The sequence below is a fragment of the Homo sapiens genome, chromosome 5 (assembly GCF_000001405.40).
Source record: "Homo sapiens chromosome 5, GRCh38.p14 Primary Assembly".
Lineage (NCBI taxonomy): Eukaryota > Metazoa > Chordata > Mammalia > Primates > Hominidae > Homo > Homo sapiens.
Window position 1 is genome coordinate 9034767 of NC_000005.10, and position 25204 is coordinate 9059970.

A 25204-nucleotide genomic window follows, 5' to 3' on the forward strand; every position below is an offset into this window, starting at 1 on the left:
AGAAAGCCTAATTGGCCTTCCTTATCACATATTTCCTGTTGCCCATGGAAATATTTCTAAAAGTGCTTTAATACATCCTTATGTCATGTCCTGGCCACCATTCAAAAGGCCTGAAGATAAACAGGAGTGTTATGAGTTTTCCTCAGCAGGAAGTGGTCTGCACTTCACTCTGATGAAATTCATTCCTTTGAGCAGTGGCCATTGCTTAGCACCTCTGGGGAGACCGCACACTCAGAGGCAATACAAAGAAAAATGCCACTAAATTGTCCCCTAAATGGTAGGATTTATTTCAATGCTCACATACAATTGAATGAGACAAACTATTTACATAAAACATAAGTACAAAAAATATAATACAATTTATACTGTACACAATCAGGATTCCCTTGTTTTGTTCCCCCCACAAATGGCAGCTAGAGATGGTAAGAAGGGGGTTGGTAGGAAAGTGTGACTGCACACTCAGCAGTGCTGAGGATAGATCTTCAGAATGCTTTTTCATAAAGATGAATAGGGTTGAGATACAGAAACTGTCAATGCACCAAGAGCAGTAAGAGAGCACAACATATTCACTTCTGTAATAATAGCTATATATTTTTTCTTATAAACGTGTTTGTTTCTCAAAGCTGAGGCTTGGAGCAGGTGTGAGTTGCCTTCCATTGATTGGTTAGGTGACCTCCGCCCACCCCTGCTCCAACTTCCATAGTTGATCCAATGCAGCAGGTAATGAGTTTCCAGTTGCCACAATTGGTGTCTTAAGCTGATTTCAGAAAACAATGCATCTGTCAGATGTCATTAAGCAACAATCTGGGATACAGACCTAGACAGCTCTCAGGAAGCATTTACAACCAGTGAATTGATGGACAGGAAAGATAAAAGTCATGAACATTAGAAATTTCTATTGCGCACATGTAACAAGAAGGTTTTGAAGAATATCAATGCTTCAAATGTAAGGATTGAAAGAAAGTGTGGTGTGTCCATGGCCCCCTTACAAAGGACCCAGCAATCTACAAGTGTTCTAGCATAGCAACCCAAGATCCATTTTCTCATTCAAACAAAGGGGAAATGTAAAGCTATCTCATTGTTTTAAAAAGCTAAATTATAATTAAGATACATTGTCTTTTAAAATTAAATTTAAGATCAGTAACTGTCTGCAAGCTTACCAAGGGCTGAAATTGGCTTTGGAGGAGTTTCACAAAAAAAAAAAAAAAAAAAAATCTCAAGTTTATTTTGTGTTCACAAAACAGCCAACAGCAAATTAACGCAGAATGAGGCATTTAACATTTGATAACATCTTTAAAAGTTACATCAAGCGGCATAGCACAAAAGTTTTGCTATGCACTTTTGAAGAATCCAACATTGGACCAAAAGTTTGTGCATTTTCTTGCAGATGATGTAGAATCTCAGTGGTGAAACTAAGTGCTTGGGTTAAAGATTCATACTGTGCTTTGTTTCAAAGTGCAGAGGTTCAGCTTGCTTTTGGCCAACAGTCATGGTAAAAGAGAAAAACAATCAACTTCAGCAGAGATAATACTATTACTTTTCTTAACCCAAATTAAGAGTGACAACTTTTGTGAACTTGTGAAGCAGTTTTGATATAAACTTAAAAATAATCAGGCAATGTTGTAGGTGGTTCTCATTCCATGCTCACTGTATCTATACCAGTTGTCACCAGCCTGTGTCTGATTTTCCTCTATCTATGGACTTGCCTGAAGAGAAACAGAAACAAAAACCTCTAACTTCTATAGGCATCACGTTAACATTCTTATTACAGAACAATCACTATGATTTTTTTTGGAACATGTAAAAATTAAAGTGATGTTAGTTTCTAGAAGGCTAATACTGAAGTCACCTCTCTTCTGAGCATATGTTGTACCTATTCTGGTTCTACATCCCCAGTGAGGGCAAAAATCACATCTGAAGATGATGTGCTTCTTGGTCATTTTCTATTCCTGAGTTCAAAGAGACATAGGAGAATAATTTTCTTTAAAGTAAATCCAATCAATCTTCTCCTTCTAATTAGACCAATAATATCCACATGAAATGATAAATGATCATCTTAAACAAGGCACTAGCAACTTTTTCTAGGAAATTAAACTACCGCACTTACAGAGAGGGAAGAAAATGATGCTCTCATTTTAGCAACATGATAAAATAGTTCCGATTTTTCAGAGTCCAGATTTTGCTCTCAGCTTGTATTTATCAAACATTTGAATCATTTTATTACTGCCATTCATCTAACATTTGGAATATTTGGCATTAAATTGCCAAAAGGCTGAGAAAGAACAAGATCACATTTCAACTACTGGCCCCAGATTTTAGAGCAAATATGAAGGGGTGGAATAAATTTTCTTGCTTGATTGACAGTTTAAGAAACACAAAAGAGTGATTTTCTACCTCCTCTTTCCTCTTTCCAGATCTGAAAGTGCCCTTGACTAGTTCCTGCCATTGCGCCAACACTGTAAAACATGTTTGCTTGAGCAAGAATTGATATTGACTCCGATTGCAGGGAGTAAGCTTGATTGCCTTTCTATGGCAGATATGAGCTAATATGATCCATCAAAAAGGCTGTGTTTTGAGACAGCTTTCACTAGGAAGTATACATTTTGTGCCAGGCTCTGAATTGGTTTTGATAATGCCCTATGTCGCTTGCAATGTGAACTCTATTTTCAAAAGTGGATAGGATTCCCTTCCTCATGCTTCTGTAACATGTATCAAATTTCTGATAATGCAACAGATGACCACTGAGTATATCTTTGATCTATCTGCTAAAACAATGTGTACAATGCATCTTTAATATAAGTCCATAGGAAAGGAGTATTTAAAGAGTCGTTTTAGAAATCATCACCAGCAGTTCAACATTACATCTTATTTACCTTTTCTATTACCAAAAGAGAAAAGAAGCAAGGATTAAAGCAACATATTTTCCTTTGCTTTATTAGGTTAACAAGCAAGGATTAAAGCAACTTATTTTCCTTTGCTTTATTAGGTTAACATAGCAGATAACCTGAATTCCTTGGCTTAGTGTTTGTAGAGTTTAAAAAAAAATCTTTAAATCCATTATAATTAATGACCTCAATAGGGCAGAATAGCAGAAATAAATTTCACGATGATCCCCTGTCCCCAAACATTTTATCTTACATTGTGCATGGCATTCCCTTTTATGCGTTTCTTAGGTCAAAGTGAACATTTCTCTATGTTCTCCCATTTCACCCACTGCCCAAAGAAGTAAGGGGCTCAAATGGCATCTAGGGTCTGATAAGATAAGCGTAGGTAATTGCAGATAACCATAGGTAATCAAATATTGGTAACGTTGTGTCAACATGCTTCCCCAAGTGCATCAGGAAGTGATGAAGAAGTTAGGATGAACAAATGGGCTAGGCAAGGCCAAGGCCATCTGTAAACTCCAGTTTGTACCATATCATAAGTGGTGAAGAATTTGCATATAGTTAAGGTTATTAGTACCGTCATAGAAATTGATTATTGGAGGTGTGGGGCTTAAGCACAGCCCTGCCATGTGGAAAATGGTTATGCAGTCGCTGTTAATTTTATCAACCATTAGTACCTGTTGCCTCTGGTTCTGTGTTCCAGAGCCATCTCTTGAGATAGAAATGCTGAGGTCAATGGAGTTACCCCCAATGACACACACAAGAAAACCCCATTGAAGTGTAAAGGATACCCGGACCCTAAAGAAAGCTGATGGTTCAGGGACAAAGTTGAAGAAGTATCTTGACAGTATTGGGGAAATATTTATGATTTATTCTAAAAGCAAAAGGAACACTGCAAATAAGCAAATGAATATTTGTAAATTCAAATGCTAACAAGGCTGTGTTTAGACAAAACGATTAGCTGAGTATAGACTTGATATATGTTTAAGGTAAAATTCCCTTTGATATTCAATTATACGCTAATGGATCCCCTTAGAGAGCCACTTGGGGACATAGAGACCCCCCGCTAAGACTTTGTTCTTTTTTTTTTTTTTTGAGACAGGGTCTCTCTCTGTCACCCAGGATGGAGTGCAGTGATGTGATCTCAGCTCACTGCAACCTCAACCTCCTGGCTCAAATGATACTCCCGCCTCAGCCTCCCAAGAAACTGGGACCACAGGCACGCACCACGATGGCTGGCTAATATTTTGTATATTTTGTAGAGATGGAGTTTCCCCATGTTGCCCAGGCTGGTCTCAAACTCCTGAGCTCAGGTGATCCGCCCACCTTGGCCTCCCAAAGTGCTGGGATTATAGGCATGAGCCACTGCACCCAGCCTTTGTCCATGATTTTGACAGCATGACCTGCTAATTCTACCAGAGACTCCAGTGGGAACACTCAGCAAAATAGGCTTTGACTCCCACAGTTTCCATCCTTTTGCAGATAAATAAGGAAGTAAGTACACCTTTGGCTAAAACTCTGGCACTCTGGGCAGTTGATCCTGGCAGAGTCCAAGGGTCAGACCCATGGACCTGTGAAGTGGGCAACCGTTTCCGGGAACTGTCCATAGCACTTGCTGGGGTGACCAGGTCCTGCCTTTCACGTCACCTACTTATCCGACTATTTCCTCCATTTGCTTCTTTTCTATTTGCCATCACCTGTGACCCGATGGGGCCAGACCCCTGGTTCATCCCAAACCACATGACATGAACGGACTCTTCCTAGGGACAGAGGTTTCTCCCCAGCAGGGATGCCCTCACCCTCATTCAATGTTTATCGTCTCTTTTCAATTCCTTTAGAACCTCAGCCCCACACATACATTTATTAAATGTTCTTTTCTTCTCAAATATGAATGGTAACTCTAGTGAGAGCCTACTTGAACAGGCTTAGGGAACCATCCCTACAAACATGAAGAAGCTGAGATGCCTCATGTAAGTCACAAGAAGCAGCAGCATAGAAATATGCTCAGAGGGGAATGGGGAGTTCTGGAGGGAACGCCATGAGTCTGGAGACTGTGGCTCTTCTGTGCGGTGGAGCCTGACCACGTGCCCCCTGAGTTCCTTAGAATTCACTAAGTCCATATCATTCAGAGGTTACAAAACCCCAGTTTCACCAAAGCTACATGTCCCTGGAGCTACAGGAAGCCCACATGTTGTGTAGTGTGCAGAAATTCTGTTCTTCTCCTTCCTGTAAACTGTCAGTGCACTGTAAAATCAATAGTAGATGGTGATGAGTCTGGCCTCAAGAAAGGACCCTGAATAGCACTGGGAGCCACTTTCAAAGAATTTAAATGTAAGACTAAAGCCAAGCCAGCTTCCTCATGAAAACCAGCCTATCTCCAACTGTATTCAGAAATAATTTTAGAAGTTAAATAGTGATTAATGTCATTTTACATCAGGTGCAGAAAGGTGTAGCTTAAAACTATGTGTTGGTTTTTGTTCCACTTGTACCAAGAAAATAGGAAGAAAGGAAGAATTAAAGAAAGAAGAAAGGAAAGAAGAAAAGAAGGCAGGAAGGAAGAACAAAAGGAGGGAATGAAGGACAAAAACAAAGATAAAGAAAGAGAGAATGAAAAGGTCATTCAGGAATTTAAAATGTGAACCGCAAAGTTTCACCAGGACTTCCAAACAGCCCAGGCCTAAGGAAGAGCGGCTTTATGAAGGAGTTTCCAAGACAGGTGAGAGATCACACTGTGAAAGTCCAACATGTGAGGGTTCACGCGATAAGCGTGGAGTACAGAGCCAGAACATGTGAACGGTAGCTACACAGTGATGGACAAACACAACTTATTCCACAGCTGGTAAAATACTTAGAATATATCTGAAATTATCTAAACACTTGCTATTCTGTCAAATAAGAGAGAGAGAGAAAGGAAGAGAGATAAACAATTTTCCTTTGAACAGTGTGGTACGAAACAAAAATGGGATTCTTTTGCAATGCTAATTTCAAAGGTTTGTTTATATTATTAACAACATGAAGATCCTGTAGTGAGGGAGGGTGTTTTTCCCAAGTCATTGCAAAAGACTCATTAAAGACCAGCTTCGATGCCATTTAGAAACCATTTCCCATCAATTCCAGTGAAACATTCTTGAAATATTAGAATCCTCTTTACCAGGGAAAATAAAATGTCCCTTTAAGCTTACAAACTATTAGGGAAGAAGACTCAAAAATAACTAAAATGTGCTACAAAGTGAAAATGTTTTTTTCTTACAAGAAACTGATGAGATGAGTTGAAATATCTGATGATGAAAATCCAGCCGAGGAACAATTGGAGAACCATCCGGCTAGATTTCCCCTACTGAGTATGGACTTTGAGCATGTGCATATAGACAGAAGACTCTGACATATGAGGAATGAGTGAGAGGCAACATGAAGTCCCCACTGCAAAGACCCTGAATGTCATTAATCCAAAATAACTTACAGAGCCCACCTGCCATTTCAATACTGTGTCATCTCTGTAAATCTGGGTATATGAGAATATTTTGAACTCAACAATATTCATTATTAAACATAGAATTCTTCTAACACTTTCTGAAATTGTTTCTTTAAATTAGAAACAAAGATAAGGGTAAAATCACATATGCTAATAAAATTCTATGTTCCTTAGTCCCCCTACTATATTTTCTTTCATAGATCCGAAGGTTCATTTGTAAGAACACGTTTCCGTGTCTACCCAGGACTTTATCACATGCTCAGAGGCATCAGATGAACTTTTTCAGTCGTGTTCTTTTTTTCAATAATTATTCAACCAACTGCCATAGGTTATGTATTGGTTGTTTGTGAGAAAATTATATATTTTTTTCCAGGGACCTCTGTGAATGGTGTTAGCACACTCTTAAATGCTTATCGATGATCAGTGAAGAGACCACAGGGATCCCAAAAACCCTTACTTCCAGCTATCCTGACTTCCCAAGGTACATCTTGAAATGCTGTTGCCTCCATGCAGGGAGAGGTGAGGGTGAATGGACTGGGTGGGTGGGAAGGCAGCACTGAAATAAAAGAAAAGGCACCAGAGCTGAGCATCTCCTGCTCCCCTGGCCTGGAGGCAGCAAGTAACAGCAGAAACTGGGGGTAGCACTTCGTGTGGACCTGGCAGACTCCAGAAAGCCAGCTTTACATGGTATTAATGCTCGTGGTAGGGGCTGATTGCCACACATTGGGTATATCAGAGAGATGAAAAATAAAATGATTATCATTAATATCAGTTCTTTCAATATTTTCAATAACATAAAAAGTTGCTTTTAGTTATAATTTAGTATTTTCAATACTTTCACTAATTGACATCATAAATGTTCAAGATTTTTCTTTGCAGGGAGAGAGAAGGCATGGAGTCTATCCAAACGCTAAGTAAGTGGTTGGTTATTTTACAGACTGGCTCTTCAGGACGTCACTATGGACCAGACAGGTGGACTTCCAGGCCAACAGCATGGCAAGGAGCTTCCTGGAATGCCATGAAATCCAAAAGTCAGAATAAGGTGAGTTTTGCAGCAACCTGCAGAACACATCCACGCTTCATTGTGCCTGAGCCTCTGCTCCGCTGCCTCCACCAGCACCAGCAATGGCACAGAAACTGCATCAGGAGCAAGGTGGGGTGCCTCACAGTCTACTGTAACTTCTGCCGGTGTGGACCAGGTGGAATTCCTGGGCTTCCCAGGCAAGATGAAAACACTCAAGCTGCTTCCAAGAATCCCACAGCTTTATCCAGATTTGGAAAGTTGGGCAATCCATGGTGAATAATTGTTTGGCCACATTCTTTTTCTTCATTTTATGAAATATTATGGACCTATGCACTTCTTGTGGAAGGAGCAGGTCTTTCAGAGAAAGTGCCTATTTTCTTGAATTACAACATCATGAAGATTTACACTCCAAAGTTCTAAAGAAAGACTCCTTCCAATGTGGGTGGCACATTTATAAAATAATGCTCAAAAAACAAACCAATGGACTTGTCAGAAAAATAGGATGAACACAATTAAAAACTTCACACCCTGGCTCATTCAACAATGGTCAAGATTTTCACGATGTCTTATTTCAATTTTTGTTGCTTTTAAAGACGTGTATTTTTGGCAGCAATGGGACACTCTGGTGGCTTGAAATGCACTTGAAATGTATCCAAACTTCGACTCTGAAGCCTCAGAAACATGGGCAGTCATGGGGCACAGGCCTTGAGGAACTGGGGATTTACAAGAAGCCAAAAACATGAAAGCTGTTAGTACTCATCATAATTATTGAGATCTGTAAAGTAGGCATTAGAATAGGTCTTCCCAGTGAGATGTGGGTTGAAGTATTTGTTTCTTTCCTCTAGGATCAAGTTGTTTTTGTTAAATGCCTGGAAAATATATTAAAAAAAAACAGGTTTAAGAATGCTGAGTAGCATTTCAGAAATAATATAACAAGGATGACTATTATGTTGAATTTGAGCTCTCTGCTAAGACTCCATATTTTAAAATATGTTTTCTTATTTATTTGCTTCCCCAGATTATTTGCCCCATGGAGGACTTGCCTAATTACCAGAATAAGGTTGGCAGTTTGTGATATCTTCTGGTTAAGTTTTCAACTTTAGTTATGAAGTTACCACGAGAAGCAGGAGGTAAGAAAATCTAAATCTAAATCTCTAGAAAACCTAAAACTATAATGATTTCAAATTAACAGACACTTTGACTGTAACTGAATATATATAACTAAATTCGTATTCATATAACTGAATAGATATATAAGCAGCTTTCAGATGACCATGGGTGAGGACATTTATCGGAGACCTTGATGGAACTTATTTAAGTAAGGGCCTCAGGTTTCAAATGCCTTAATTGCTTTTCATCCTGAACTTATTAGAAGGTGATCACTGTAGCCATTTTCTATTAATAGTCATTAAAGTCACCTGCAGTTTCAAAGAGCTTCAACTGAGCCAGGTAGAACATATATATTGAGAGGATTAAAATGAAGATGAAGGAGGGTGCCCAATGGCCATCTGTCCAGGGTTAGTCTGGGCAAAGTATCAGACAAATGTTCTAGAAGGATTCGTTAAAGACTGGACAGCTGTCCGTACCTTCAACGTCCTTTATCTTCATGAGAGAAACATTTCTGATTATCTTAAAAGTGGCTGCTGAATCTTCAGTGGGAACACAGGACTGGGTAAATTACCTTCTGATGCCCATAGTAACAGTGATCAGAGACAAGCTGATGTGTTGGAATCATGCTCAGAGGAGCCCCTTTCTTGAGATCCAAATGTTTGTTTTGAAAGCTGTTGTTCATGGAAGGAGCTCGTGTTCCTCTTTGGGCTTCCTCCCTACTCTAGGAGCTAGTTTCTGAGAGGCCAGGAGGGGCGTGTTATTAATTCCTGGTGCTTCATTCCCCAGATCTACCATCTGAGTGAGGGGAGATGCTCATGGCTTGTGGATCTTGGTTTAAGCAGGGTCCAAGGGGAAAAGTCAATTGGTGTGTCTCCATACAGGTGGTGGAGAATAGAGGCCACATGGCTAAGAGACAAGTATGGACATTGTGGCTCCTGGGACATAAGTTCTCCCAGCCACCTGAAGTCGTAAGGACTAAAGATGTTTCTTATTCTCACATAGGGAGAAAATTCAGTTTCAAAGGAAACCACCACAGCAGAGAAAGGGCATCAAAATACTCCCTACAAGTGTTAAGGAAAACCAGGCACTTAGCAGAAATATTAAAATTCACTTACCTTGATGGCCTCCACCGAGTCGTACTTGTCCAGTTTGTTGATGTGGTTGGTTATGCTGGTATTAAGGGGGGCAGGTGAGACGGGGTGGATGACAGTCGCATCGTGGGATTGCTGCTGGTACCGCTGGCAGTAAGTATAGACGAGCAGGGTGAGGAGGCAGCCGAGGATGGAGCTGCTCAGCCCCACGGCGATCATGTGGAACATGTTGAACTCTAGGGAGACATGAGCAAAGTGATGCCACACTTGAAAAGAACATCCTGCCTAGCTACTCAAAGCACTAGGATGAAAAGAGAAAGTCAAAATGAAAAGCTTCATCCCCATTCCAAAATTAAGGAAATTATCATTCTTAAGAGTCTTTCATTGGAAATGTCATGGCCATCAAGAAACTTCTACACAGGGAGCACAGGATTATTATTATTATTATTATTTGAAATGGAGTTTTACTCTTGTTGCCCAGGCTGGAGTGCAATGGCATGATCTCAGCTCAACACAACCTCTACCTCCTGGGTTCAAGCGATTCTCCTGCCTCAGCCTCCCGAGTAGCTTGGATTACAGACATGTGCCACCATGCCTGGCTAATTTTGTATTTTTTAGTAGAGATGGGGTTTCTCCATGTTGGTCAGGCTAGTCTCAAACTCCCAACCTCAGATGATCTGCCAGCCTCAGCCTCTCAAAGTGCTGGGATTACAGGTGTGAGCCACTGTGCCTGGCAGAGCACAGGATATTTTAAGTTCATTCTCTTATGAATGATAGTCTTTTGGAGTGACCTTAAACTTTAATACTCTACCAGAAGCATGTTTTTATTATTATTTAAAGGTTTGCACAACAGTGTTCTGCTTCAAGTGCAGCCTAATCCATGGTGTACAGGGTTTCTGCAGAAAAGTTTATTCATGCACCTCAATGGGTTGAGCCTCCCTGTGCAGCAGGGCTGTGTCCTGAAAACAAGGGAGAAGCAGCTACTTTTCTAATCTACTGCTCGCCTGCAAGCCAGACTGCTTTTAGCTCTCTCTCCATTTCATCCTATTTAAAATGTTTTCTATTCACATAAACACATACACTTTTCATTATATTTTTTGAGTATGAATATGCACACATTAGAAAGTACAAAAGGGTCTACAGGAAAAATAAATCCTTTCCTAGAGGTAACTATTATACCTAGAGGTAACTATTATAAGCACTTTCTCCCGTGCCCTTCCGGAGATACTCAGCACACATGTGTGCTGGTGTGGTGTAAATACTATCCTGCGTACCACTTTTCTCACTTATGTTGTATTTTGAAGGTCTTGTCAAGAAAATGGTTTACTAAAAAGAAATAAGGGATTTGTGTTAAATGAACAAAATATGATATTTTAAATGGTCATGAAATGACCTTCTTTTCCCCTAATGTTTTCCTATTTAATGGCATCTCTTCTGTCTCATTATTTTCCTGCAGTTATGAATACAAAGCATTCAGAAAATTTGCCAGCATGGACTTATATCTCTAAAATAGGATTGGCTCAAGTGATTTCAAGGCACCATACCAAGACCTGTGTTATGTCGGAGCAAACAAAAGACAACAGATATTCCTTGTGTATGTTGGTGAAATACTACTATTAAAGTTTCAAGCTTTTCCACAAATGAAGGCAGCATCTCGTCAGTGCCACATCACTGGGCTTCAGGAGAATTGGGTAAAGTAAAACAGGGCCTTATCTTCCTCTGTGTTGTTATCTTCCTCTGTGTTGTTAGAACCAAGTGGCTGCTGCCCATGGGGTACTGGCCTCATGTGCCACCTGCTCAGAGCACATCCTGAGGACACCAGCTTTCCCCAGAGTGTCTCCTCCACACACCACCAGGGTGAGGGGCAGTGTCACTAATACCTTTCCCTGACCTGTCAACCCTGCACCCAGTGAGACGATTGGAGGTATGTGCTGAGCATCACTGTGATGCTGGCAAGTCTACCTGGCTGCAGAGCAAGGCCTTTCAGGCTCTGGAGATAATGAGAAGAGCCTGGGTGCATCGTAACCACCCCAGTCTGTCTCCTCCCCAGGGATTTTCTGAGCTGTCTTCCCTGTGCTCATGATCCTCCCTACCTGGAAGGGATTCCACCCTGCCAATGCGGACCCACGGGGCTCTAATACTTGGTGTCAAAGGGAGGGTCACTGTTCAGTGAGTGCCCACCTGGCCTAGGTCTACGGGGCTCTGTTTGAGTCCTTCCTGAACCTCATGCAACCCTCCAGTGGCTGATAGGCCCCAGGGAAGCTGAACCTACAGTCAGGAGATGCCATCAAGGCCTCACCTGTGATACATGGCAGAGGTCGGATATCTCTCTTTGTCCCTAAACCCTGAACTTTTCCCTCTAAGCTGTGCTCCTTGGCTGCTCCAGACAATGTGTTCCAGGAACCCAGGACTTTGGAGCTGGATCTGCCCCTTCGGGTGCATGGACACTGTGAAGGGAGGCTGCTTTCTCTCTGACTCACTGTCAGGCAAAACTCACAACACATTCCTGACCACTGAAGTGCCAGTGGATAATGCAGTTCCCAGCACAGTCCTGATCACTCACTCACTCACTCACAACCACCTCAACTTTTCACTTCCAGCTTAGTTGGTCAATGGTTTCAGCATCTTTGGCCTTTCTTGACTCTGTCTTGAAGCCTCTAGGGCTGGAGAACTGCCAACCTGGGACAGACAGATAAAGTATCCAGGGGACATTTCACCAGCAGCCACTGGGACTTTAACTGTAACAATGACGCTATACTTAGATAAGCAAGAGCTGATTTCACACAAGTTCTTACTTCTTCTCTCTCTGACAGAGCTGTTAGCACTCTCAGGGTCAATGCCTTCTTCTGAAGGAAATACTTCCTGCTGCACCGGTAACTCATGTTTCATTATAACATAGGGAAGATGCATGATAGTCTCCATATGCAGATACTGTGTCATTAGTCAAATGAATCATTCCAGCAGGTGCCTGGGAAAGGCTGGGGCCAGCTGACATCTTTATGATGATTATATAGTCTTTGTGTCTCATGCAACTAAAAATAGCTCTCTAAGACAAAAAATTTGAATTGAAGCACATTTTTCTGCATGGGGAAAGTAGTGCCCATTAAATTTCTTCTGATTTTCTGCATGGGGAAAGCAGTGCCCATTAAATTTGTTCTGAATGTGCTTACTATAGTTCTTTCCTTTGAATATGATTTTCTGCTGTTGATTTTGATCAGTAAAGATGGAATACAGACCAACTACCCTGTTGGTTCAATTGGCTAATAATTTCCTGTACAATGATTGATTTTCAACAAAATGAAAAAATAAACAAGTGAAGATGCCTATGTTGTCAAAAACATCCTTGCTAGGTAACTGTTTTCAACCATTAGCCCTACAATAAGATTCATCTAAACTGCCTATGCCATTGTGCCAGTGCCAGCAGCCTGAAGATCTAAAAAAAAAATTCCATTCTGAATATCTCAGAATAGTTCAACTTCCTCTGATTTAACCAATAGCATCTCAGCTGGTTCAGACACACAGGAGTAGTATTTTAGGGTGGTGATGGGCTTTGCACCAGGTTCTCCTGGGTTCTCAAGGCCCTTGAAGGTCTTCCACAGGGTAACTGTGAGGCTCAGCAGGAGGAAAGTGAACTGCACACGTCTGGCAGCAGGCACAAATACCTAGCCAGCTCTGCTGAGGCATCAGCTGTTTGAGCCTCAGGCTCTGCATGGCCTCCCTGAGAATGGGAACACTTATAAACTCTGCTCCACTCTTGACCTACACTGTCCTGGACCCAGGCAGCAGACAGTCCTGGACCCTGGGTGTTGTCCAAGTGTGTTACCTAACCAGGGCTACTGTGGCTCGAGCCTCCCGAACACAATGCTTTTGGATAATTTTATTGTCAGGGCTCGTTTCCTACGGTGCTTTGGGTTCAAAACTCACACTGGATCCCACTGGCTGAATTCCATGTGTGCACTTGGGCCAGTGACATCATCCCTCTAAGTCTCATGGTCTCCATTTATAAAATGCAGATTAAATACATAAGCACTGTTCCTTTTCTATAATTCCCAAGTGCAAAATCTCTGAAAAGTAATGCTTCATCAGTCATCTGGCATTAAAATGTCACTGACCTGAACCATTTTCTGTAGACCTGACCAGAACTTCTAGGAAGACCCTTAGCATCTTCACTTTTTTCAACATCTCACAGCAGCACTGTTAAGGAGATTGGTTGTAGAACAACCCCAGGCCCTGTGCAGGTGTCACGTAATATAGAGTAAAGGCCCCACATACCCTTCTAACAAACATCTAAAAGCTGCTGAGTTCCAAAACCCTTCTCTATTTCCAGAGGTGTTACATGAAGAACTGTAGACCCTTGGTGCCTACATCAATGCTCCTTGTGAGGACCAAATGGGCTTTGCACCATATTCTTGTCTATAACATGTAAAACAGTGTATAGCACACAATTAGTGATCTAAAAACATTAGAGGGTACTAATTGGTATGATCATTTTTATGTGAACTGTTTGCATATTCATCTTGTAGTTGGATCCCATGTTAGCAACTGTTAGTTAGTGAACTCACTCCACTGACTTAGCTCAGACACCTAACATTGCCCTTCTGAGGCACTGGGGTCTCTGATGATATGATTGCTTGTCAGAGGGGCTGGGACTGCGTGGGTGCCCATCCTAAGCTCAATGGCCTTCACAAAACTGACACAGAGCAGGTGTTCAGCAAGGATTACTGAATGAATGACTGAATGAATGAATGAACTAACAGACTGCTGACTGAGCAGACAGAATGTCACAGATAGTGAGCTCTTCTATTATTTATTTATTTATTTATTTATTTTTGATGCAGAGTCTCATTCTGTCGCCCAGGCTGGAATGCAGTGGCACGATCTCAGCTCACTGCAACCTCCACCTCCCAGGTTCAAGAGAGTCTCCTGCCTCAGCCTCTCCACTAGCTGGGACTACAGGTGTGTGCCATCATGCCAGCTAATTTTTACATTTTTTGGTACAGATGGCATTTCGTCATGTTGGAAAGGCTCATCTCGAACTCCTCCTGACCTCACGTGATCTGCCTGCCTCGGCCTCCCAAAGTGCTGGGATTACAGGCGTGAGCCACTATGCCCAGCCAGTAAGCTCCTAATCAAGGTAGTTAATAATGGTAGTTAGGAATGATAAGTACATTCCTGAAACATGCCTATGAAGCTTCAGGTTCCATGTGAACATGTCAGAGGCAATGCCTGTTGGGCTGGGCTCTCTGAGACACCCTGTGGAACGGATTAGGGGAGCAAATGGGAATCTATCATCATCAGTCACACATGTGGAAGTTAAGGTCTCAATGTAGACATTGGCTCGGATTCTGAAAGGCGGACATGGGCTGTTCCTTGGTGGCTGGACAGCCAACCTCTCCATCCAGGCATGTTCACAACACAGACAAGTACTTTATGGGTATATGTAAGGCACAGACTGTAAAGTCCAAATTTATCATGTACTTGAACCAGATAATGTTGTCTTTGACATTCAGGGTGGCAGGAGGTTTGAAAAATTCCTCTAGCACTATAGGTATAACCTTATGCCTCATTACAATTTAGTCATTTCAGTGGGTTGGAGATTGGAAGCTAGCTGCCATGGATTTGTATTATAAATATAAACAAATTGTTTGAATTCTACTTTACTCATGAAATTAACTATAGTGAATACCGAGACCACTGGTTCATAAAGCTTAGAACCCATAAGAATCACCTGCAAGGCTAATTGAACCACCAACTGCTGGGACCTTCCCATGAGGTCCTGATTCTGTGGATCAAGGTGGGGCCTGAGGATCTGCATTCCCATCAAGTTCCCAGGCCATGCCCTGGACGTGGGTCTACGCACCCCATTTTGAGAACCACCGATCGGTACATCAAATATTGACTATTAAGCCTTTATGCCAAGGTAGAATGCCTGGGATCCATGACTTTCTCCGGTTTTTCATTCTTGGCCAAGAGGCAGAAAAATTATAGAAAACATGCAGGAAGGGAAATGATTAGAATATATCAGTACATCCATTACAACTACTTAAAAGGAATAACGTACCTCCACACCTTTTCTCTTCTACGCTACTGGATCTTGCCACAGATACTTCTGGAAAAAGAAAAGTCGAATCACAATGTGTAAAAGGTGTTCAGAAGACAGTCCACATTCATGCTTCATGTATGTTTGTCTAATGATTCTGAATGTTATGTGACACAAAGTTTCAAAAGCTTGATTAATTATCAGAAAAATTCTACTTGTTTCTTTGCTTGTTTTAACCAACCTGATATGGATTTGGCCAAATCACCTTGACTGGGGAGAGATAAGATTCATTTATCACAGAAAGATAATGCTATGGTCTCTCAGGCTGAAAGCAGGGAATGTGCTCATTTTCCATTACAAGGTGTCTTGCCGGGGGGATCCCCCCACTCTGCCCAACACACAGAGTACTCCTGTGGTATTCCTGCTTCTGAGACTTGTTCCATCAAAGCCAGTGTTGTCACCTTCCCGGCAGAGGGAGGGCCCATTCACCAGAGCTCAAGGACATCTCCAGAACAAGTGAAGTCCCTCTTCAGGAGGCCACTGATGCTCTTGGCATGCCACACATGAAACCCACAGTAGGATGCAGAGAGAGGCCACATCTCATACATGTTTTAACTCCTGAGGATAAAATATCACTCGGTAGTCTAGAAACACCATTCTTTCCTGTACTGATTTTTTGTTAGACAACAAGAATTAAAAATATGTCTATCGTTAAAAAGGAAAACAATAACAACCACTCTTATAGTTCTGTGCCGTACATGACTGAGGTATGGTATGCTAATTTTCTCTAAAATAGTATCTTTTGCACAGACGAAAGAAAACAAAGAAAACTGGCTTATAGAATTCAACTCTACTATTTATTTGTAAGAGGCTGGTCCACCTAACAGTCCTAAGGCACACAGTGGACATATGCGCAATGATCTATGCATTCATATAGCACCTTCTCACAGTGAGCATGCAACAAGTGATCAGCTATCACCAACAACTACACACTGACTTTACCATGAGAAGCTGGTTGAATGAGGGCCAACCTCTTCTCCAACAGGAGAATAATGATGCATTTCTACCTTCTCAAGTATATTAAAGATAGCATAAAGAGAATGGTGCTTTTTCTCTGTGTGCCAGTGCATACACAGCGAGCACTGCCTAAACATTTAACCTAATATTAAAATAACCAAATAACCAAAACATATTTAATAATAACCAAATATTTTCATTTTTTTGAGCAAAGTCTTCTGATTGCATTATAGTTGATAAACTGCAAAAGACACTTTTCCTAAGAAATCTTAAATTCATGAACTGAATTCATGTTTAAATCTGCAGTTATCTATAGACCTACGTTTTAAACACCTTGAAACCATGGGGCTTGATGGAATCATCTCTATTTCACCAAATAAGCCAAATAAAACTCTGACCTATGAATCATTTTCTCTCTCCATGTTGGAAATGATTTTATTCTTACTGATAAATACCTCTGCTCTTACCTGGGATGAAATTAGAGTCAAACACACACGGCCGGCTCTCCGTGGTGTTCCCGGAGCACTGGCTGCCCATGGGGAACAGGAGGATGCACTGGCGGGCGCGGACTTGGACGCCAGAGGCTTCACACTCAGACCAGTCCGACCACTCCGACCAGCTCTCTGCAGAGACCAGAAAAGGGGAGATGGGGCGGAATGGCCAGTAAGCTCAATCATCCTAGACTCACTGGCAAGTTACATATGTGATTTCTGGATTCCAGGATTCCATAGCATATTTTTAATGGTTCTGTGCATCAGTAAGATGTAGTTGTATCATCTAACAGATCCAGTACATACAGTACACACGAGGATGAATAAAAGTGCCTGCGCTGTTATATATTTGATCAGATATCATGAGCTTAAAATAAACATTATTTTAACGTTATAAAGTAATTGTATTTAGACACTCAATAAGTGAATCCATGAGACCCAGCTGTGTGCAGACCATCAGCAGCAGCGGTACATAAGTCATCAATGCAGATGCCATTTTGCTATGGGTAATGCTCCCCTCAAAGAAACTCAAATGCTTTCCTGAAACATTCCTGAAAATTCTCCACCTTCCTCTGTGCTCAGGCGAGAGAAATAATTGTGTGCTCATGAGAGTCCTGGGTTGCTGAAAGGGAGTCTGAAGCTACACAATTACTTTCTTTTCTGTTATAAAAACAATTCCGCAGAGTCAACATGCCAAAGTCAGGTGACCCTTGATGTAGAATTCATCTTATCTCGTGTTTGCTGTCTCTGAAGAGATAAGGTCAATGCACAAGTCTTGGGTCAAGGCCAAAAGAGGGGCATTGAAAGGATACTTCATCCCGAAGTGGAAGATTTACTAGGATGTGTGAAATTCACCCAGGCATACAGATGTGTGAAAAGAAAGGAGTAAGACTCCTATATAAGTAAGAAGGTTAAAAAAAAAAAACTCTGGATATTGTTTATGGAATTTTAATCAGGATAAAAAGGTATTTTTCTATGCAGTTTGCTTTTTTCCCCTTTTTAAATAGAAGCATCCACTTTGTAGTGGCAGGGAAAATTTGAAAATCAAACTTGTGCTTTGCTCCAGTTAAAGGGTAAAATGTTTCCTTAGAAATGCAGAAAGTGCCAGTTTTTGGAATGACAGTGAGAATCTGGCTTTAAGGCCCTTTTCAATATACATAGAACCTTCTAGAAAGATGTGCAGGAGCAAGCTAAAAAAAATTGTGTGTTTCAATGTCAAAGTTAGACCAAGAAAAGAATAGCTCATTTTCATTCCAGGTCATTCCTTCATGTCAGTAAACCAAGCTATTTCTGGGATGGTGGTGGTGGTGGAGGCCCCAAGCGCCTGCATCAGCCACAGGGAGCTTGAAGCGAGGAGCTCCCACACCCACGGGCCCAAGGCTGGCTCCTATGAGGTGCACTTCACAGCGGTGCTCCCTGCTCTCCACCCTGATTTTCAACAACAAAACCTCAGACTCTGTTATTAGGCTACTGGCTTTAAGAATGCTTTGCTATCACCAGTTTCTGTTGTTTGCTGTGCTCCTCCACTTACTGATTTGATGTCATGCTTTTTCTTTCCTTTAATTGCACTACCTCTAAATTACAGCCCATCGACCATGGATGAAGCATCCTGCAAGAGTGCTTAGTGTCCCCTTGTCACATTTTAGAAGTCATTCCTGGAACACAGGTCTGGAGATCTTTGGAAGACATGTGGCTGCACCCAGGCTGGTTTTGAGACAAAAAGGCTGCAGGCGATTTCCCCACTCAGACCTCCAGACTCCATGGGGGGCACTAAAAATGTTCGTTCTTTCCCACCTTTCCTTGGACTTTCTCCCTCAACACAGCAAGGTGTCACCTGTGGGTCACTAGTGTTAATTAGCAAAGTCAAGAATAAATTGGGATGTTTCCTAATTAGGGAGATTGGGTGTTGTAACATGCCATAGATTCAGAACTCGTGCTTGAAGCCTTTAGCACTCTCCCATTGCTGGGCTAAAGGCTTTGAACACGAGTTCTGAATCTATAGCTCAGTGAGAACTATTTTATTATAGATGCTATGTTTTAAAGTCACTTCAAGGGTAATAGCATGTTGCTAACTTGCCCACCCCCCTTTCAGTACTTACCATGATGCAGTATCATCAATTACACCATTTATCCATTAAGGAAAGAGGCCAATTTGTCTGAAAGCTGTGCAGTAGGTGAGGTGCCGCTTACCTGGGCAGGGCTGCGTGTTGCAGAGTGCCTCTTCTGTGTGCAGCCCCAGGCAGATGTCCCCTCCATAGGCCGGGGCTGGATTGGAGCAAGAGCGGGTCCTCATATAGTGTCCACCGCCGCATGTTGCTGAACATTTTGTCCAGGGGGACCAGCAAGACCACACGCCATCCACTGTGAAGAAACACAATGTCACAGCTCTTCTATAATCCAATCCCAACCAAGTGAAAGGAGTTACTAAATGGAAGCTAAGTGGATTCTGTTTAGTAAGGGAAACAAAATGGAATCTGCACTCCAGAAAGGCTTCAGTGCATAGGCACACGTAGCAACAAGGCTTCTGACCCCTCGCAGGGCTGCATTTGGAGTCTTCCTCTTGGTGACAGATCCAGTTTTACAGATTCCTCCCTACACTTTTTCAGTTCCCTTTATTCACTGTTTCAGAAAACATTTCTAAATCAATCGTATCTAAGTACAAACATGACAGCAGAGTGCACGAGCTGTCATAGTAATTCCAGCCCCTGAGAACAACCATGAACCACCTTGTACGGTTATTGATGTAAAGCCCCAGCCAGCTCTCACCTTTGCCATCTAACTAGCCAGACAAGACTTAAAGCCAAGGTAAGTAGTTCAAGTCACGAGCTCCTTTACTAATTGGATTATGGTTTACTCCCTGACAGTGGGATAGAGAAAAGCTAACACGTCCCATGAGGAAGGTAACTGAAGAATGCTCGGTAAATTCAGGCACAGAATGACCAAATTAAGTACAGCCACACAGACTTGACACTATGTTTAAATGACTATAGAGAGGAATCTGAAAATCTGCAGCCATATGTCAGATTAGATATTAAGGGTGCAGTTTTACAATGTGAAAGTTAGGCCGAACTGGTTCCTTGACTAACCATTTCCATGACAGCTCACAACCCAGCACATGTCTCTGCCTGCTCAAGTTAGCCTCCTGAATTCTTTAGGCTGGGCTCTTGGTACCTGTAGACCCGCCTGCTGAATGCTGGGGTCAGGTGGCCCACCTGAATCTGGGAGACTTTAAGAGTCAGTCCTTTATTAGCTGATCTTGCTAAAACCAAGACCTCATGTTGGCTTGGGCTTGTGACAATGTCAAATATGATTTTCAGTTTAGCTAACTCCTGACTGTGCCTCTCTCTTACTAGCCAGATCTTCCTTGTTATTGCTGAGTCCCAGGACAAAGCTACAGGACGTTGTCAAACAAGGTATTAGATCCTAATCTGGGGTTAAGCACAAATTGTAACCACAGCTAACTCAATTAAAAAGCTGAGGAGAGACTCACTATTGCTGTATGTAGACAGTATCATATTTTAACATTCTTTGTAGCCTACACAAAGAAACAGGAGCAAGAGGATGCCAAAATCATTCAGGGCATAAGATTGTTTTAGCTAGAATAACTTAGATTGTTTTTTAATATGCCTGTCATGATGTATTACATCATTATGGTGTAATGTTTCTTTTTAGATATTGGCAAAGGTAAAAAGAAAGCATTTTTGAGAAACCAGAGCAAAAATATCATCTTTATGACAATATTATAATTTGCAGAAAGTAAAAAGAAAACAAAAATATTTGAACCCAATTTAGAAATAAGTTTGCAATCTAACTGGAAATTTTGTGATTCAATAGTTTACACAAACTTGCAGAATTCAACAGTATTTTCCCTAAAAGTTATACGGTATATCAGACAGTTAGAGGAATTGATCAAGTATTTGATACTGGCTGTAATATCAGCAATAAAAAAGCCAGGCATGTGTTTTCCTAGAACTTTAAAAATTAAAAAAAAAAAAAAGCTCTCTCCCATATCTATTCTCACTGAAGGAAGCACTTGCTGACAGTTTTTTTCTGTTTGTAACCTAAATTGGAGCTTGGCATCAGTGAGTACCCTTGCATGCCCCATACACCAGGGCAAAAATAAGTCATTGTGACTTATAGTAATGGCAAGTGTCTTAGATCTTGGCTTTCTAAATGCGCACAAGGCAGCTCAGGGCTCAGAAGGGTCTAATGTGTGCCCTAGATTGTGTCAGGGCCTGATGTATAACCAACCATGTGTTCTGTAGATCCCTGGCCTCTGTATGGAATGATAAACCTGCAGATGAATGGCCGACAAGTGTGTGAAAAGATGCTCAGCATCATGAATCAACAGGGAAATGCAAATCAAAACCACAGTGATGTATCACCTCACACCTGCCAAAATGGCTATTATCCAAAAAACAAAAGATCAGTGTTGGTGAGGATGTGAAGAAATTGGAGCCCTTATACACTGTTGGTGGGAATGTACAATGGTGCAGCTGCCTCGGAAAACAATGTGGAGGGTCCTCAAAAAATTAAAAACAGAGGCCGGGCATGGTGGCTCACACCTGTAATCCCAACATTTTGGGAAGCCAAGACAGGCGGATCACCTGAGGCCAGGAGTTCGAGACCAGCCTGGCCAACATGGTGAAACCCTGTCTCTACTAAAAACACAAAAATTAGCTGTGCATGTTGGTGCAAATCTGTCACCCTCACTACTCAGGAGGCTGAGGCAGCAGAATCGCAGGAACCTGTGAGGCGGAGGTTGCGGTGAGCTGAGATGGTGCCAATGCATCCAGCATGGCTGACACAGCGAGACTCCATCACAAAATAAAAAAATGAAAATAGAATTACTGTAAGATCTAGCAATCCCAATCCTGGGTATATATCAAAAAAACTGAAATTAGGATCTCTGAGATACATTTGCATTCTCATGTTCACTGCAGCATTTCTCACAATAACCAAAATTTCAGAACAACCTAAATGTCCATCAAGAGATGAATGGATAAAGCAAATGCGGTAGGTACATACAATGAAATACTATTCAACCTTAAAAAATGAGATCCTGCCACATGCAACAACATGGATGAACCTAGGGGAGGACATTATGCTATGTGAAACAAGCCAGACACTGAAAGACAAATAATACATTATTCCACTTAGATCAGGTATCTAAAATAGTCAAACTCATAGAAGCAGAGAGTAAAACGGTGGTTGCCAGGGACTGGGGGAGAGGGAAGTGGGGAATTGCTGTATAGCTGGTATAAACTTCCAGTTATTCAAAATGAGTAAGATCTAGATATCTACTATACATCGTTGTATACCTATACTTAACAATACCGTATTGTGCACTCAAAAATCTGTTAAGTAGGTAGATTTTATGTTGAGTATTCTTACCACAGCGAAAACAAAAATAAAAACAGAGACTAAATGTGCTCATTTCAACGGTTCCATAATCATGCAACATCTAATGATCTCATACCAGGAAGCTGATGTACATAATATATCCTGTGATATTCCAAACAATATTTATTCCTGTCCACATTTCTACCAACATGTAAGCCAATGTGTATGTGATCTAGTCTAATAAATCCTCTCTCACACATACACCAACTGTCCATCTGGTATCATGGTAAATTCTCCTGGCACAGGATCATTTATTGTTAAACAGAGAGAATGGAGCTGTTGTTTGAATAACCGTTTAAGAGAGCATTTGGAACAGAATCCAGTTGCTGAAACATTCCCACTTGGGAGTTCAAATCACAAGATCACACTCTACCTCTACCAATTTCAGCAGTCAAAGAACTGGGGAAATGGATGTTTCTAGTACAGAGGGAACTCAAAGGAGACCTGGAACCACTTCCTTACTCTGTCCGGAAGTTGCTTAGTCTGCAATTGCCCTATGTCCCCAGACCAATTCTAATGCGGTGCTTGCTTTCTGTCCTCTTGACCCTGTCTTTATGTTACAGGTTTCAACCCACATCATGGAGCCATAATGTAGGATATTGATTATTGTACTAACAATTCATATTAGAAAGGCCAAAGCATTTCTAAAATAGACATTTCAGAACACAGATCTTAATGAAATAGCCTTCATCACAAGGGAGCCTGTACAACCTGGTGGGGAAGTAGAAAGTTGCAGGGCCAAGAAAACAAAACAAATGTAAGCCACTGTGGAAGGCACAGCATGTCAGGGGCCTGAGTGAGGCTGAGCCACTAAAATAGATTTTTTTCCCCTGCTATGTGAACTATATTGGACTAAAAAAATAACATTAGTAATAGTAATAATTAAAATAATAAACTCATTCAATATTCCATCTCCATCCTCACAACTGCCCTGGGGGTTGTTCCAGAAATGAAAGACTTGAGGCATAGAGAGGTTAGGTCCTGGGCAAGTGAGTGGGAAGCTGGGGCTGGAACAGTGGCAGGCTGAGCACAGAACCTGACACACAAGCACAGGTTAGGGCTTCCCATAACTCCTCCCATGTTGCTAAAAATCACATAGGAATCTCCTCATGGCTTGAATCATCACCCAAGTTAGCTCAAGAAATACTGGTTCATGGGAAGATCAGACAAACACAAACTCAGATCCATGTTTCTTTCAAGGAATCAAAGCAATTAATTATAGGAAATTATTTTTGATAAAATGAAATTTATACATGAAATAACTTGACAGAAGAGGATAACATTCTTGTTGTAGAGATTCTAGCTAAATATTCCACCCACTACAGTAAGATTAAAAACAATGGCAGTAACCAATGTACAATTGCCAGAGACCTAAATAGCAAAGTAAAAACTAAATAACTAAGATTTGCTCAACAGGCTTCCTGTGTGTGATCAGAGATGTGAAGCCCTTCACTCACAGTCTCTCGGGACATGGGCAAATGTGGTATTGATTCTCCAGCATACTGAGGTCTGGACTACATAGGTTTGCACTGCAGGACAGCTGTGCTCTCTGCTCCTAAGGATCTCTAAGCAGAAATTTCCTACACCAACTGCCCCCTGCCTGGCTCCACTTCAAAGTATGGACTCAAGGACTCCAAGAATGCAAAGGAAGAGAGGGTTCTGAGCACACCAGAGATGCCTAAGAGATTTATCTATAGGACACACAACTGCCAGAATTATTCTTTTGACTCAGAGTCTGTCCCTCCATTAGATTTAGTGTTCCTTCCCCCATAGAATTATTGTTTGCAAAATACAAAACAGAACCATCTCAGTTAAGTCTGATGAAAAGAGTTTGTGTTTACTTCATTAGGTTTTTACCTTCATTTTCTTTTCTTTTTTTTTTTTATACTTTAAGTTTTAGGGTACATGTGCCAAACTCTGAGGTTGCTTTCCTCTTAGCTGAACATTACTTAGCAACAAAAAAACATCTGTTGTCTGTACCTTTGTAGGTCAAAGTCTGGAGTCTTTAAGGCTAAATCAAATATGCATTGAGGAAAAGGAGTGAAGAAGAAATAATTAGCTATTTCTCAATGCTGGCGTAAATTATGTAGGTGAAGGTACTAGTTAGATGGACCCACAGAAGGTGAAAAAAATGATTATTTCAGCATGGGCTTGACTTAGAAACCTTATTATAGTTTATTTATACACATCAGTCTTAGAGGTAAAATTTTTTCATTGATTAATTTAAAATGTGTTTTTATATTCTCTGGTTTATTTTATTTTTATTTTGAGACAGAATCTCACTGTGTCACCCAGACTGCAGTGCAGTGGCATGATCTCAGCTCACTGCAAACTCCACCTCCTGGGCTCAAGCAATTCTTCTGCCTCAACCTCCTAAGTAGCTGGGATTACAGGTACATGCCACCATGCCAGGCTAATTTTTGTCTTTTTAGTAGGAATAAGTTTTTACCATGTTGGCCAGGCTGGTCTCAAACTCCTGACCACAAGTGATCTATCCAACTCTACCTCCTAAAGTGCTGGGATTACAAGTGTGAGCCTCCATGCCCGGCTGATTTATTTTCATATTTAATTTTAATGAGGAAACATATTTTTAAATAAAATACAGTGTCCATTTGTAATTGTCCACTATGAACCCAACAGGGTTAAAGAAGAGTAAATTCACAGGGGAGAG

At 41.3% G+C, this 25204-nt stretch overlaps 1 protein-coding gene and 1 non-coding gene across 12 annotated transcripts in view; both read right to left on the reverse strand.

Moving 5' to 3' along the window:
- SEMA5A (semaphorin 5A) overlaps positions 267-25204 on the reverse strand; it is a 511043-nt gene continuing 486105 nt past the window's right edge. For all 11 annotated transcript variants that reach the window (XM_011514158.3, NM_003966.3, XM_011514157.3 and 8 more), the window contains 5 exons: positions 19321-19491; positions 17107-17262; positions 15644-15691; positions 9607-9818; positions 267-8250 (listed from right to left, as the gene is read on the reverse strand). In XM_011514158.3, coding sequence (XP_011512460.1) covers positions 8131-8250; positions 9607-9818; positions 15644-15691; positions 17107-17262; positions 19321-19491 — 707 coding nt within the window. In that variant the 3' untranslated portion in view covers positions 267-8130. The remainder of the gene's footprint in view (positions 8251-9606; positions 9819-15643; positions 15692-17106; positions 17263-19320; positions 19492-25204) is intronic.
- On the reverse strand, positions 19050-19129 carry MIR4636 (microRNA 4636). Its single transcript, NR_039779.1, has one exon. It is a non-coding gene; the product is annotated as a microRNA 4636 (primary transcript).